At 40.6% G+C, this 14853-nt stretch overlaps 1 long non-coding RNA gene across 5 annotated transcripts in view; it reads left to right on the top strand.

The window, feature by feature from the left end:
* LOC105377557 (uncharacterized) overlaps positions 1-14853 on the top strand; it is an 88225-nt gene that overhangs the window by 60428 nt on the left and 12944 nt on the right. Inside the window, exon 1 of one of the 5 annotated variants that reach the window (XR_007058379.1) lies at positions 13688-14267. The exons of 3 other annotated variants lie outside the window; for them this stretch is intronic. This is a non-coding gene — a long non-coding RNA (uncharacterized LOC105377557). Of the gene's footprint in view, positions 1-13687; positions 14268-14616; positions 14842-14853 lie in introns of those variants that run through there. One more of the 5 variants, XR_007058382.1, reaches the window with a different exon arrangement.

Genomic DNA, 14853 nt, shown 5'->3' with positions numbered 1-14853 from the left:
AAGTCAGCTATTTGGTGCTGACAGTAGATATCTGACGTAATTAATATATACTCTTCTCATTCTTAGGACACACATTCAGAATTCTTTTTGCATTTTATCTCTTCAGTGGCCCAAATGTAACAAGAAGATTGCACAAATGGCCAGGCATGGTGGCCCAAACATGTATTCCTGATACTTTGGGAGGCCAAGGAAGGAGGTTTGCTTGATGCCAGGAGTTTGAGATCAGTCTAGGCAACATAGCAAGACTCTGTCTCTACAAAACAATCATACACACACAAAAATTAGCCATGGACAGTGGCTTGTGCCTTTAATCCTAGCTACTCGGGAGGCTGAGGTAGGATTGCTTGAGCCCATGAGGTCAAGCAGCACCTTGTTTCAAAAAAAAAGATTGCTTAGTTTGTGATATTTTCAATGTGTCCTCAGTTTAGGGACTTTGCTATAATTTTTCACTTGCAATTATAATATTTAATATTTTTATAACTTTTAAATTGTGGCCTAATAGTAGACTGTTTCATAAAAAACACATTTATTACTGCTATTACTACTATTATTTCAAAGTTATGAGTAGTTAGGAAATAATATCATTGCATTACATGTGGTTAGCCTCATATTCCAATTATCTTCTCCTGATTTTAAAGAGGATTAGGCTTTATTATCTATATTAAAAAATCCCAGAGACAAAAGCAATGCACAGATGGCTATGCAGAGGGAGCCCCTGCTTTGTATTTGCAAATTCATAGATACAGCATATGCATTCATTTGCAGCTCAAACATAATTAATCTAGGTGGAAGCCATTCATTTGTATCACAGTAATGTTGTTCCAGATTTAAACACAGAAAGACTGCTGGATCTGATCCCAGGTTTACAATAGCCTTACTTGAGAAAAATGTAATAGTTAATCCAACAGCAATACTGATATAAAAATTGAGTGCAAACATCTTATTTGTAACAAAAATATAAAGTTGAATTGTTTCTAGAAAATTGAAAGAATGTGGTGTTACTATTAAATGGTGACTCTTATACAGTATAGGTTTTAATATAATATAGCAATTCAACCAATAAACAGTACCTTCCAATCAGCTCTATACTTGAGACAAGTCAGTTAGCTTTCATACAACAGGCACATTTTCACTTTACATATTATCTTATAAATACCGGCTTACAAGTTTGTGAAGTCAGAGGATTTTTTTCAAACATACCAACTGAATTACTGGCTAACATCATGGGCTAGCACTTTTACTCAATTAAAAAAAAAAGGAAAGAAAAAAGGGCTTTTATGTATTATGAAACTCTCATTCTGTGAAGAAAAAAAAATAACTATTCAGAGACTTTTGGTTGTAAATGAGTGTTAAAGGGAATCAGTAGGGATTTCCTCATCACAGTTCTTCACTCCAAGCCTGTATAACCTCCACCTTCTGTGAGCTCAAATGCATGAAGGGAGAGAAATGAAGTTACAGGCCAAACAAGGGTACATTTTGAATAGTTCCCATTCATCCTCCCATTTTATAGCTTTTAGATTACATTAATTACATAGCTTGCACCTATAAACAGTACTTGAAAAATTTCACTCCTCTCTCTATAGTGCTATTAATGAATTAGGCTTCTAATACTTAAAATGTATTTTAAAAGTTATATGTGCTGTGTGTATATATATGTATATATATTTTATTTTTATTTTTTATTTTTATTTTTATTTATTTATATTTTCTTTTGAGGCAGGGCCTTGGTCTTTTACCCAGGCTAGACTGCAGTGGCACCATCACAGCTTACTGCAGCCTTGACCTTCAGGCACAAATAATCCTTCCACCACAGCCTGTGAGTAGCTAGGACTACAGGTTCATATCACAATGCCTGGCTATCTTAAACAATTTTTTTTTTAATTTTTAGAAGAGACAAGGTCTCACTATGTTGCCCAGGCTGGTCTCAAACTCCTGAGCTCAAGCGATCCTCCTGCCTTGGCCTCCCAAAGTGCTGGGATTACAGGCATAAGCCACTGCACCTGGCTACACACTGCATTTATTGAAAACCTTCTGGTACATTGACAAAGTATATGTGAGTGCCTTCATAATCTCCCTTTGAAATTCTCTCACATTCATCAAGGAAATGACAAAATTAGCAGATTAATATATTTCATAAGTTACTGATTCAGTGCTCATAATCACCAGAGTAAAATATTAAGGAATGACTAAGTCAGGCCTTAAGGTTCCTTGTCATCTGATACTGTTACTTTCTAAATTCAGATTAATCTCTATTAATTGCTTTCTGACAGCATATTTTTTCTTTTATATTTATAAACTGTATTTCTGATAGATAAGCCAATGTAGATCAAGATGCATAAAGAAACACTAGAAATCTGGCTTCATTTTCTTTCATGTACAACTTAGCATTTTGAAAGCATCTGCCACATGTACCTCTGTGTCCCTTGTCAACATTTGGAGGTAGCCGGTGAGCACTGCCATTTCTTTTATTTAGTAAGTGTACTTGTGAGTATTTCAACATCTTCTCATCAAGCAAGTGTAAATGTTAAGAGTAGTTCTGCTGCTTCAAGTCACTGCGGAGTGGCTGTGAGTTGCAGGATTTATCTGGGTGAATATACCAAAGACTGTGTAGATGTTGTTGATAATTCTGCTCATGTTTTCTTTAAGAAAACATTCAAAGTTGGAAATACAAGTTCTAACATTTGATTTACTTGTGTTTCCAAGTTATTTGTTGAGCAATAGTCATCACATTTTATTTGTCCTTCCCTGTACCACATGTGCTTCTTCTTTATGAACAAAAAGTGCCACCTGCCTGCTCAGAGTTTGAAAAATCATTTCTCATTTCATAGTATTGAGCTGAGGGTGTTTTAAAAGATTTTATGATATTTATTTAAGTTATGATAGAGATTTGTGGATTGACTATGAATTGATCAAATCGACTACTATCTTCTAAAAGGGACTCATGCCACGGTAGTTATCCTTCATTTCTTTCTCATTATGTTCTTATTTTTTTTGTGCGGGTGGCCATCAAAGATTGTTTATTTTGTAGTAGTGGTAATGCTGCTTTAGCTTGTATAGCAATAACATTATTTAAAGAGATATCTAATGAGGTGACGTGGAAAGGGAACCATAATTTGGTTCAGGTTATGAGTGAGGAAACTGCAGAGTTTCTCTAAAATATTGCCAGAAGTAACGTGGTGAAGTGGTCCTCATGCAAAACCATTCATTATAGGTGTGCAGGCATTAACTCAGTTTAGTTCACATATCAGTAAGAACTACTAAAATGGTAGGTGACAAAATTCAACTCAAATCAGCTTAATCAGAAATGGAAAAGGAATGTTTTACATGCCTGGAAAGTCCAGATGTAGAGAGGTTTCAGGGATGACTGGATACAGATTTAGCAAGGTCAGCTGACCTTGTTCTATTTCCGTGTCCATTTCTAGGCCCTGCTTTTCACATGGTGGCTTCATTTTCAGGCTCTGCATCAGGTCCTTCAGAATACCAGGCTCACATCACTCTCACTGAGAGCAGTTACTTCATCAGAAAATAGCATATCTCTTTCCTATAGTACCCTTACACAATTCTCAGTTTGGCTTTAATTGGCATGAATTGGCTGACAAATTTATTCCTGAACTAATCTCTGTGGGTGGGGGCTTTGAGACATTTACACCAAGGCCACCCGTCCTCGTCTGGTTCTAGGGGTTGGATAAGCCTTATCCAACCACCTGCACTGGGTGTGGATGAAAGGGGATGTGGTGGAAGGCCCAGATCAAGATTCAGTGTTATGTGTTGCCTTGACGTGTGTTGCCAGGTGGGCCTTGAATAGCCTAACTGCAAGTTTCCTTTCTGACTGTGCTCTGCAGATAAGGGCCTAGCCAAGCAACCCTTCTTACCAAGGGGCCCAGGCACAGCTCCTGCTTATCCCTGAGTAGTGGGTTTCAGTTCTTTGCCAGCCTGCAAAATTATTCAAACAAGCCAATCGCATACTCCTGTGGGAACCAAGGGGCACCTCATCTTCTTGATACTGCAAAATCTGCCTCCCCCAGTCCCTTGCTGTTCCCTCTGCTCTCAAGCTCAGCCCCCATGTGGTCCTGCATGGCATGGAGTGCCCTCCCACACAGGCTGTGAGCTCATGCACAATTGTTGAGTTTGTCCAACCAGTGTTGGCTGTCGTGTATTTGGCCCTCCCCATAACCATATGACAGGAACTCCTCCCTCCCTGATGGGGCACATAAGGGGTAATTAAAACAGAAGGACACCCCCAAAAATGAGGAGTCAATCCCACATAGGATGAATGAATGCTCTATAGGTCCATAAATAACTGAAGTTAATTTCAGTTAGGATCCATAACTCGGATTCCAACAAGTATTCTCTGTACCTAGAATTCCTGGTAAGACATGAGAATGTAACTCTCAGATTGTTTTAGAGAATTTGGCTGTACTTGGAAGCAGCATCATTTCAACTTAGAACCCTTTACCTGTTGCAGAAGGCAGGATTATAGAGTTAAGAGAACTAGGACTGAGTATCCTAGCTGATGAAGCACTGCATGTTATATCTTTTCTTTTCTTGGAAATTCACTATACTCATTAACATTTCAAGACTCTAATAAGTCCTGCAGTGAAAAAAAAATCAATACTTTCTATCAAGATTTTCCAGGCATATTTGACACAGAATACATTTTTGCGTACCATCTATTAATATTTAGGAAATAATTTAATAGAATATAACATCTTTGGATAATATATTCTGCCACTATAGAAAGTTATATTTTTAAAAATTTGTTTTAAATATTATGAGAATATCTTGAATCTTTACAATTCTAGTGAATATAGTCATTAAACATAGATATTGTATAACATTTAAGAATACTTGGCCGGGCGCGGTGGCTCACGCCTGTAATCCCAGCACTTTGGGAGGCCGAGGCGGGTGGATCATGAGGTCAGGAGATCGAGACCATCCTGGCTAACAAGGTGAAACCCCGTCTCTACTAAAAATACAAAAAATTAGCCGGGCGCGGTGGCGGGCGCCTGTAGTCCCAGCTACTCGGGAGGCTGAGGCAGGAGAATGGCGTGAACCCGGGAAGCGGAGCTTGCAGTGAGCCGAGATTGCGCCACTGCAGTCCGCAGTCCGACCTGGGCGACAGAGCGAGACTCCGTCTCAAAAAAAAAAAAAAAAAAAAAAAAAAAAAAAAAGAATACTTATGTGGTCTTGTCCTTAAGAGATCTACACCAGAATTAAGATTAGACTTAGATATCTCAAATTCAATCGACCATTTAAGTTGAACTTCAGTTCTTTGATTTACTTCTCTAGATTAAATCCTTTAAAGGCTGTTTCTTCCTCGATATTATTTGGGAATATAAACCCAATCTTATAAGACCAGAAAAAAATATCAAGTAGTTATTTCTCCTTTAATCACAAAACCCTTGCAGGAGATAAAAGATTAGCCTCAGACTTTCTGACCTATAATGTTAACATATTTTAAAAGACCATCATTTCAAATGCTCTAGTTTCTTTTTTGAGCAAACTGTGAAAAAACAAAAAACTCTTCTAGTATCTGTCTTCTGTGGTCTTCACTACATATCTCCTGAATGAGTGTATTAAAAAGTAATGTGTGATGCAAGTTCTGATGAATGGTTCATGTATGTTTTCTGCACATTTCCAGTTATACAAGTAATTAATTATGCCAATAAAAACAACAAGAACTCGCAACACATGATAAAATAGTGCAGAATGTTGGGATTGTGAGGGGTATGCTACAGTTTTTATTTGAGTATGCCAACAAATGACTGTCAGTTCTCTGAGTTAATTATCTGTGTTATATTTAATACACACTGTGTAATTCTGCAGGATTGTGGGTAGTCTTTCCCTGGAAGAAATGTGACTGGTTGTCAGCAAGGGGGATGGTTTTATTTCTGACAACAAAAGCAATCATGATATTTTAGATATAATGAAGAAATACTTACCTATGTAACTATTATTGTTTTTGAAACAATGTTACCTTAAAATATATAAAGGAGTTTATTTTTAATTCTTCTATGAGAAATAACCACAAATATTTTTAACTAATTAAAAATAAAATGTCTTGGATGGAAAGGAGATTAACTGTGCTAATTAGCATAATATTCTGTCAGAGCAATATATGGGGACTTGGGGATGTCTCATAATAGATATTGAAATATTCCAAATTGATAAACTCTTTTAAGATTCTTCTAGGCTCAAATGTTTATTTTTACAATCTCTATTAGTTTCTTTTCTTTACTATTTATTTATTTATTTATTTATTTATTTATTTATTTATTTTTTGAGTCAGATTCTCCCTCTGTCTCCCAGGCTGGAGTGCAGTGTTGTGATCTCAGCTCACTGCAACCTCCACCTCCTGGGTTCAAGCGATTCTTATGCCTTAGCCTCCCAAGCAGCTGGGACCACAGGCACATGCCACCATGCCCAACCAATTTTTTTGTATTTTTAGTAGAGACAGGGTTTCACTATGTTGGCCAGGCAGGTCTGGAACTCCTGGCCTCATGTGATCCACCCGTCTCGGCCTCTCAAAGTGCTGAAATTGCCATTGCGCCCAGAAGTAGTTTCTTTTAGAAACATGATTGAAAACTCTCTAGTTCTGCCTTGGCAATGTGAACATAAGTAAAATATATTTGCAAGTAAAGTGCCATATTCAAAAATTCCTGTGCTCTTACTTCTCTTCAAACAATTATTTATTGAATGTATATAAATGATACAAAATCAACCTCATGAAATATAAACAGATGACCAGCTCTGTGTCTGTAACTTTGGACTAGTGGGAAAAGTGTGTGTGCATGCAAATGTAATTCCTAATTCTCTTGACAAGGAAAGCATGGTGGATGTTCAATATTCTCATTAGTCACTATGGTTTTTCTTAGCACCTACCACAGGTCTAAGTATATGATGATACGTGTACTGTTGTCTGTCTCTTACTCTAGACCTTTTTATTTTTTTGAGACAAGGTCTCACTCTGTCACCCAAACTAGAGTGCCGTGACACAACCATGGCTAACTGCAGGCTTGACATCCTGGGTTCAAGTGATCCTCCCACCTCAGCCTCCTGAGTAGCCGGGACTAAAGGTACACACAACTACACCTGGTTAATTTTTTATTTTTTGTAGAGATGGAGTCTCACACTGTACTGCCTAGGCTGGTCTTGAACTCCTTGGCTCAAGCGATCCTTCTGCCTCTGCCTCCTAAAGTACTGGGATTACGGGTATGAGCCACTGTGCCTGGCACCTGCCTCTAGGTTCTTAAGCAATGTAAAGGCAATGGTATTGGAGTACTAGCAAATATGCACCATATACACATATACAAATACATATGCATTGACATATACATGTACGTATATGCTTGCTGTTGCTGGTGTAACAAATTACAACAAACTTACCAGCTCAAAACAAAACAACTTTATCATCTTACAGTTCTATAGGTCAGAAGTCTCACTGGGCCAAGATGAAGTTATAAGCAAAGTTGTGTTCTTTCTGGAGGTTCTCAGGGAAAATCTATTCCCTTGTGTTCTGAAGTTCATAGAAGCACTTGCCTTCCTTTGCTCCTGGTCCCTTCCTCCATTTTGAAAGCTAGCAGTGTTGCATCTTCAGATCTCTCCCCGACTCTGACATTCTTGCCTCTTGCTCACAGGGCCCCTTGTGATTATATTGGGCCCACCTAGAAGACCCAGGAAAACCTACCCATCTCATGAACCTTACCATAATCATATCTGCAAAACAATCCTCACTACAATCATATCTGCAAAACAATCCTCACTACAATCATATCTGCAAAACAATCCTCACTGCAATCATACTTGCAGGTCCTTTTTGCCATATAAGGCACAAAAGACTAGAATGTGAACATCTTTGGGGGTTATTATTCTACCACCACTATACCTATACCTATATGTATATCTGTTTCTATATCCATATTGGTATGTATTTATGTATATATCTAGGGAATACAATTCTCATTGTACAGATTTATGATTGAAATGAATATAATTTTATTTCTATTTTATCATTCAGTTTAAATGCTCTTTTGGTAACTCATTTTATAAGGGACTCAAAAACAATTTCAGTCTAGTCAGGGTTATATCCACAAAATGTCAAAGCCTAGGGTGTGAGTCCATGAAGGCCCTGTCCATCAGTCCACACAGCACTGCTGCTGGGATGGCCCTCATTCCTGTTACAGGATGCATATTACTTGGCAGCAAGAGGTCATCTAATTCCTATTTTACATGTACTCACTCATGCATTCATTCAAGAAATATTTATTATGTATGGAATGCAAAACATAAGATATCATCCCTTATCTCAAGGAAACTACTTTCCAGGAAGACAGACCCATAAACAGATAACTGAAGTAGATTCTGGCAAGTGCAATGACAGAAATGTACATAAGGTAGGATGTGAGTATGGAGGAGAGAGATCGAATTCAGCTTGGGAGTGATGTGAAGTTCGATGAGCAAAGGCTCCTGGGGTTGCTGACAGGAGAGCTGAGACTTAAACAATGAGAAAGAATTTTCTAGGAGTAACAGAGGTACTGGTACAGCCAAGCCTCAAAGTTCCCTGAGGACTGGAGATGTATCTGAAATTCAACTCAACAAAACAATTATTGAGCTGTGATGTATGCTAAAGAGAAATACAGTGACCTCTGAGAGTGCTTGATACCTATACTTCCCCTTATCAAGGGGATTAGGGAAAGTGTCTCTGAGGAAGTTACAGACATTAAGCAAGTAATTACAAGTGTGATGAGCTCCACGAAGTGATGCCATGGTAATGCAGAGAAAAATAATTTAACCTAGTCAAGAGGGCCAGGGACTGTCACACAAAGAAATTGGTGTTTAAATTGAGACCTGATGGATAAGTAGGATTTAACAAAGAAAAGAGAAAGAGAAGCAATGGAATGTAGAGAGGGAGAAAGAGAGACTAAGAGTAAGCCTGAAGGAAGGTACATGTAAGGACTTATGAATCAGGTTAGGATTTTACAATTTGTCATAGATTCATTGGGGACCCTTTGCAAAATTTTAGGTTTGGAAATAACATGACCAGAATTTTAATTTTAATCCCTCTGGCCATAGGAAGTAGAGATTAGATTAGAGTTAGGTGTTAGAATTAGGAAGCTGGTGAGTATCCGAACAAGACCCTGACTTGGGCTGGGTGGTATTAGCGTGCATGGAATGGAAACAGTCCCTTCAAGAAATATTTAGAGGGTAGAATATTTATTGAGTTCTTCTTATGTTGAAAACACTATGCTAAATTCTGAAGATGCTATAATGTATGGCACAACGCCTGGCACATATGTGCCCAAGTATTTTTAAGTTGGTAAATTAATGTCTGAGATAGAGTAGCAAGAGATAATGACATGGGCCAGATCGTGGAAGTGTTATACATGTGTCGTTTCAGTGTCATAAACAAGGGTACTCTGACATTTGCACATTTGTATTTTTTTAATTTTTTAAATTAATATTATTTTTGAGACAGAGTCTCGCTCTGTCGCCCAGGCTGGAGTGCAGTGGCGTGATCTCGGCTCACTGCAAGCTCCGCCTCCTGGGTTCAAGCCATTCTCCTGCCTCAGCCTCCCGAGTAGCTGGGACTACAGGCGCCCGCAACCACGCCCGGCTAATTTTTTTTTGTATTTTTAGTAGATACGGGGTTTCACCGTGTTAGCCAGGATGGTCTGGATCTCCTGACCTCATGATCCGACCGCCTCGGCCTCCCAAAGTGCTGGGATTACAGGCGTGAGCCACCGCGCCCGGCCGCACATTTGTATCTTACTGGGGAGATGTTTGGCTGTTTCAAAATGAATTAGGGGAGATAAGATGCTAGATAGAATCAAAGGAGGCCATTGAAGTAAAATATAATGGAACGTAAACCAGTCAAGTGATAGGAGATACGGAAAAGCAGAAACACGTGTAAGAAATAGTAGGGAGGCCAAATTAGAAGTGATGCTTGAATGAGATAGAGCAAGAAAAAAATAAGAGTCAAGTATGACTTCCCAGTTTCTGATATCAAAGCATGAAAATGATAAATGTGAGTCTGGTGCAAACAACATTCAGGTGGCAAACACGGGGTGAACATGCCAGAGCTACTTATTGGTGACTGATACATAATTCCATCCTAGAATACCCTGCTAGTGAAAACCCAAGTATAATCCTGCTTTAATTTTTACCTGATTTTTCCCCATGATTAACCCAGGTTTTAATTTGTATTTTAGTCATTCACGATGATTGGTTCACTGCCATTTTTCCTGATGCTTTAATATAATGTGTGTTGGGGGTGGGGGGCGGATCCGAAATAAAACATTTTCTTAGGAGATAATTTGTTATTTGTCTATGGCTTTTTTTTCCTGTTAGTATACTTTCTTTCTTGTGTAAATTGTTCATGTTTATGAGCATTGGACCAACAGCTACCTAATAGTTGTTTATTTTTGTATGATGAATAGCTTTCAAACTGTTTATTGTATTGATCGGATTACAGTGAAAACTGCACAAGAACGCTTCCCACAGTGCTATTTTTCTCACATGGTCACCACCAAGCAAAATTACATTCTGGGTAAAAAGGAAGAAATACATGAAACGTACACTCTCGAGACCAACAATAAATAATTGCAAAATAATTTCCAAATCCTAGACTCAGTTCCATGAAATATAACTCACGTCCCTTGGGGTTTCCAGCACTTTACCAGTCCTTGCTGAATGCATTCTTTGTCACACATCTTGTGATCCTTCACACTTTGGGGTCACGGTGTGTGAATTTATTTTTGAAAAGAGATAAGTTTAATTTCATAATAATATAACAGGTATTGTCAGTATTCCTATCAAGAAAGAACTGCTCACAGAACACGCAATAATGTGTTTATTTAATAATAATAACAATAAATACCCTTCAGAAAACTGGTTTCTGTTTCTTACTCCATTCCCTCCAAATATCATACAGTTTTAAAGCTCTGTTCCATACCTGCCTAATTTTTATAAAACTTGACTCACTGTTCCTCTAACATACTTTGCTGGCTTAGATTTCATATTTGATTAATTTATAGAAGAAATTAGAATTTTAGAACAGACAGAATTAAAATACACAAATGTTTATGTTAAATGAATAGAAGAGCACTATAAGCAAAACATTTTTACACCGAGTTTATTTAGTGCGAAAAAAGAAGAAAAACATAAAACATTTTTGACCCATCAACTTTGCCAGCCAAGTTAACAGCACTGCCTGACCTACCTTCCCTGCGGTCTAATTACACTAGCCTCTGAATTTCGTTAAACAACAGCAATAGAGCCCCATACAGCTTGGGAAAAGTTTGAATGACAGTGACTTGCTCTGTTTAACACAGGATTTAAAAGTGAAACCTAAGAAACCGTTAGGCTAAACGGAAGCCATTTGCTCAAGTAAACTGCTGGGAATATCTTGCTTCCTAGCAGAACTTTCAAAGACACTGACAACATCTAACTTTTCTTGATCAAGGCAGATAAGAAAACAGTCTGACTTATTATCCGGTAATGATTTTTTTCTGTTTTAAATGAGAACCATAGGTAAAATATCAAAACTTTAAGGTCATCCATTGTTAGAGTTTGTCATATGTAAGAATAGAATCAAGTCTTCAGACTCGAAAGAACAGCTTCTTTCCTTCAGCATTAAAAGTTGCATTATTTGCAATGTGCCAATTGTTTCAGGCCACCATTTTCCCCAGAGGGTTTTAACATTTTCTTTATAAGTCAAATGGTCCATTTTTAACATTTTGGGTGTGAAAGTTGACTCAGATAGACTCCTGAAATACCAAGTTAGCATTCTCTCTCCCTGATCTCCTATTCCTTCCATTAACCTGTCGATTTCTTACCACAAGACTTACTCGGTCTGCAAGCAATCAGTCCTGATTACTATTGTATGATGAATAAGAGAAAAGAAAAGGAGAGGCAAGGAAAGGAAAAAGGAAAAGGAAAGGGCAAGGGAAGGAAACCATTGTTCACGAGGTGGGCTCACTTTCAATGCAGCTGCCGCTGTTCCTGGGCTGCCAGTACTCACAGGTCTGATGTGGACCCTGTGGCAAATGAGGCGTATGTAGCCACTGAAATGAACATTCTGGCATCTACTGGAATATCCTTCTACTGCAGGCCTGGCTGTGAATACTCAGAGGGGAAGAAGAATGCTTCTTTCCTGGTGTTCATTTGCAGGTATTGTCCCTCCGTGTCAAATAGATGAGTTTCCAACATTTAGTTTTTATCAAACTGTAATTTGAGTTGCTCATGAGAACAATGTAGGAGCAGAAAAGAGTGATCCGTCTCCTCCCCATCATAAAGCTGGTGCTGACATTCCTATAACAAAAAATAATGAAGAGAAAAGCATAACACATTTATTTCATCATAGTTTTACATGACAGGGGAGCTTTCAGATTGAAGACTCAAAAGATACCAGAAGCTATCTGATGTGACTTGATGCTTAGGTTCTATGAAGCAGAGACAACTTTGCAGAAATACAATTGAACAAAAAGGGTTGAATCTTTTTTTTTTTTTTTTTTTTAGACGGAGTCTTGCTGTGTTGCCCAGGCTGGAGTGCTTACTGCAACCTCTGCCTTTCAGGTTCAAGCAATTCTCCTGCCTCAGCCTCCTGAGTAGCTGGGACTACAGGCACGTGCCACCACACCCACCTAATATATATATATATATATTTTTTTTTTTAGTAGAGGTGGGGTTTCACCATATTGGCCAGGCTGGTCTCGAACTCCTGACCTCAGGTGATCCTCCCGCCTCAGACTCCCAAAGTGCTGGTGAGAGGTGACAGCGTGCCGGCAGTCCTCACAGCCCTCACTTGCTCTCAGCGCCTCCTCTGCCTGGGCTCCCACTTTGGCGGCACTTGAGGAGCCCTTCAGCCCACTGCTGCATTGTGGGAGCCCCTTCCTGGGCGGGCCAAGGCCAGAGCTGGCTCTCTCAGCTTGCAGGGAGATGTGGAGGGAGAGGCGTGGGCGGGAACCAGGGCTGCGCACGGTGCTTGCGGGCCAGCGCGAGTTCGGGTGGGCGTGGGCTCAGCGGTCCCCACTCTCGGAGCGGCCCGCCGGTCCCACCGGCCTGGGCAGTGAGGGGCTTAGTACCTGGGCCAGCAGCTGCTGTGCTCAATTTCTCGCCAGGCCTTAGCTGCCTTCCCGCAGGGCAGGGAAGGGCTCGGGACCTGCAGCCTGCCATGCCTGAGACTCCCCACACCTCCAGTGGGCTCCTGTGCAGCCCGAGCCTCCCCGACGAGGGCCACCCCCTGCTCCACAGTGCCCAGTCCCATCGACCACCCAAGGGCTGAGGAGTGCAGGCGCATGGCGTGGGACTGGCAGGCAGCTCCACCTGCAGCCCCGGTGCAGGATCCACTGGGTGAAGCTAGCTGGGCTCCTGAGTCTGGTGGGGACGTGGAGAACCTTTATGTCTAGCTCAGGGATTGTAAATACACCAGTGGGCACTCTGTATCTAGCTCAAGGTTTGTAAACACACCAATCAGCACCCTGTGTCTAGCTCAGGGTTTGTGAATGCACCAATCCACACTCTGTATCTAGCTACTCTGGTGGGGACCTGGAGAACCTTTGTGTCTAGCTCAGGGATTGTAAACGCACCAATCAGCGCCCTGTCAAAACAGACCACTCGGCTCTACCAATCAGCAGGATGTGGGTGGGGCCAGATAAGAGAATAAAAGCAGGCTGCCCCAGCCAGCAGTGGTAACCTGCTGGGGTTCCCTTCCACGCTGTGGGAGGTTTGTTCTTTCGCTCTTTGCAATAATTCTTGCTGCTGCTCACTCCTTGGGTCCACACTGCCTTTATGAGCTGTAACACTCACTGTGAAGGTCTGCAGCTTCAGTCCTGAAGCCAGCGAGACCACGAGCCCACCAGAAGGAACGAACGACTGCAGACGTGCCGCCTTAAGAGCTATAACACTCACCTCGAAGATCCGCAGCTTCACTCCTGAGCCAGCGAGACCAAGAACCCACCAGAAGGAAGAAACTGCCAACACATCCGAACATCAGAAGGAACGAGCTCCAGACACGCAGCCTTTAAGAACTGTAACACTCACTGCGAGGGTTCGCGGCTTCATTCTTGAAGTCAGTGAGACCAAGAACCCACCAATTCCGGACCCACTGGCATTACAGGCGTGAATCACTGTGTCTGGCCAAAAAGGATCTAATCTTATAGCAGTGGAATGAGGGGGAAGCCCAGCAAGGCCCATCTGTTTGGAGTCTTCCTGGACTTCTGGGGCCTGACCCTTTTGGAACGGGGGTTTTAAGATTCATAATCGACAAAGTAAGTCAAATAATTTTTTTTTTTCTGTCTTTCTTTCTTTTTTTTGTTTTAGACGGAGTCTCGCTCTGTCACCCAGGCTGGAGTGCAGAGGCGCAATGTCAGCTCACTGCAACCTCCGCCTCCCAGGTTCAAATGACTCTCTTGCCTCAGCCTTCTAAGTACCTGGGACTACAGACGTGCGCCACCACACCCAGCTAATTTTTGTATTTTTAGTAGAGATGGGGTTTCACCATGTTGGCCAGGTTGGTCTTGAACTCCTGACCTCAGGTGATCTGTCCACCTTGGTCTCCCAAAGTGCTGGGATTATAGAGTTTTTTTGTTTGTTTGTTTTTTAGAGAAAGGGTCTCTCTCCGTCACCCAGATGAGAGTGCAATGGAATAATCACGGCTCACTGCAGCCTTGAACTCCAGGGCTTAAGCCATCCTCCTGCCTCTGCTTCCTAAGTAGCCAGGACTACCAGCACGCACCACAACACCTGCTTAATTTATTTTTATTTTCTATTTTTTGTTGAAGTGGGTTCTTGATATGTTGCCCAGGCTGAGAGTTTCGTTATGGCCAGCTGTGACACAGAAAGGTGAGGAAAATT

Source organism: Homo sapiens, chromosome 4 (assembly GCF_000001405.40).
Source record: "Homo sapiens chromosome 4, GRCh38.p14 Primary Assembly".
In the NCBI taxonomy this organism is placed as follows: Eukaryota; Metazoa; Chordata; class Mammalia; order Primates; family Hominidae; genus Homo; species Homo sapiens.
Note: the sequence above shows the minus strand (reverse complement) of the source record. Positions and strands in the feature narration are given on the sequence as shown.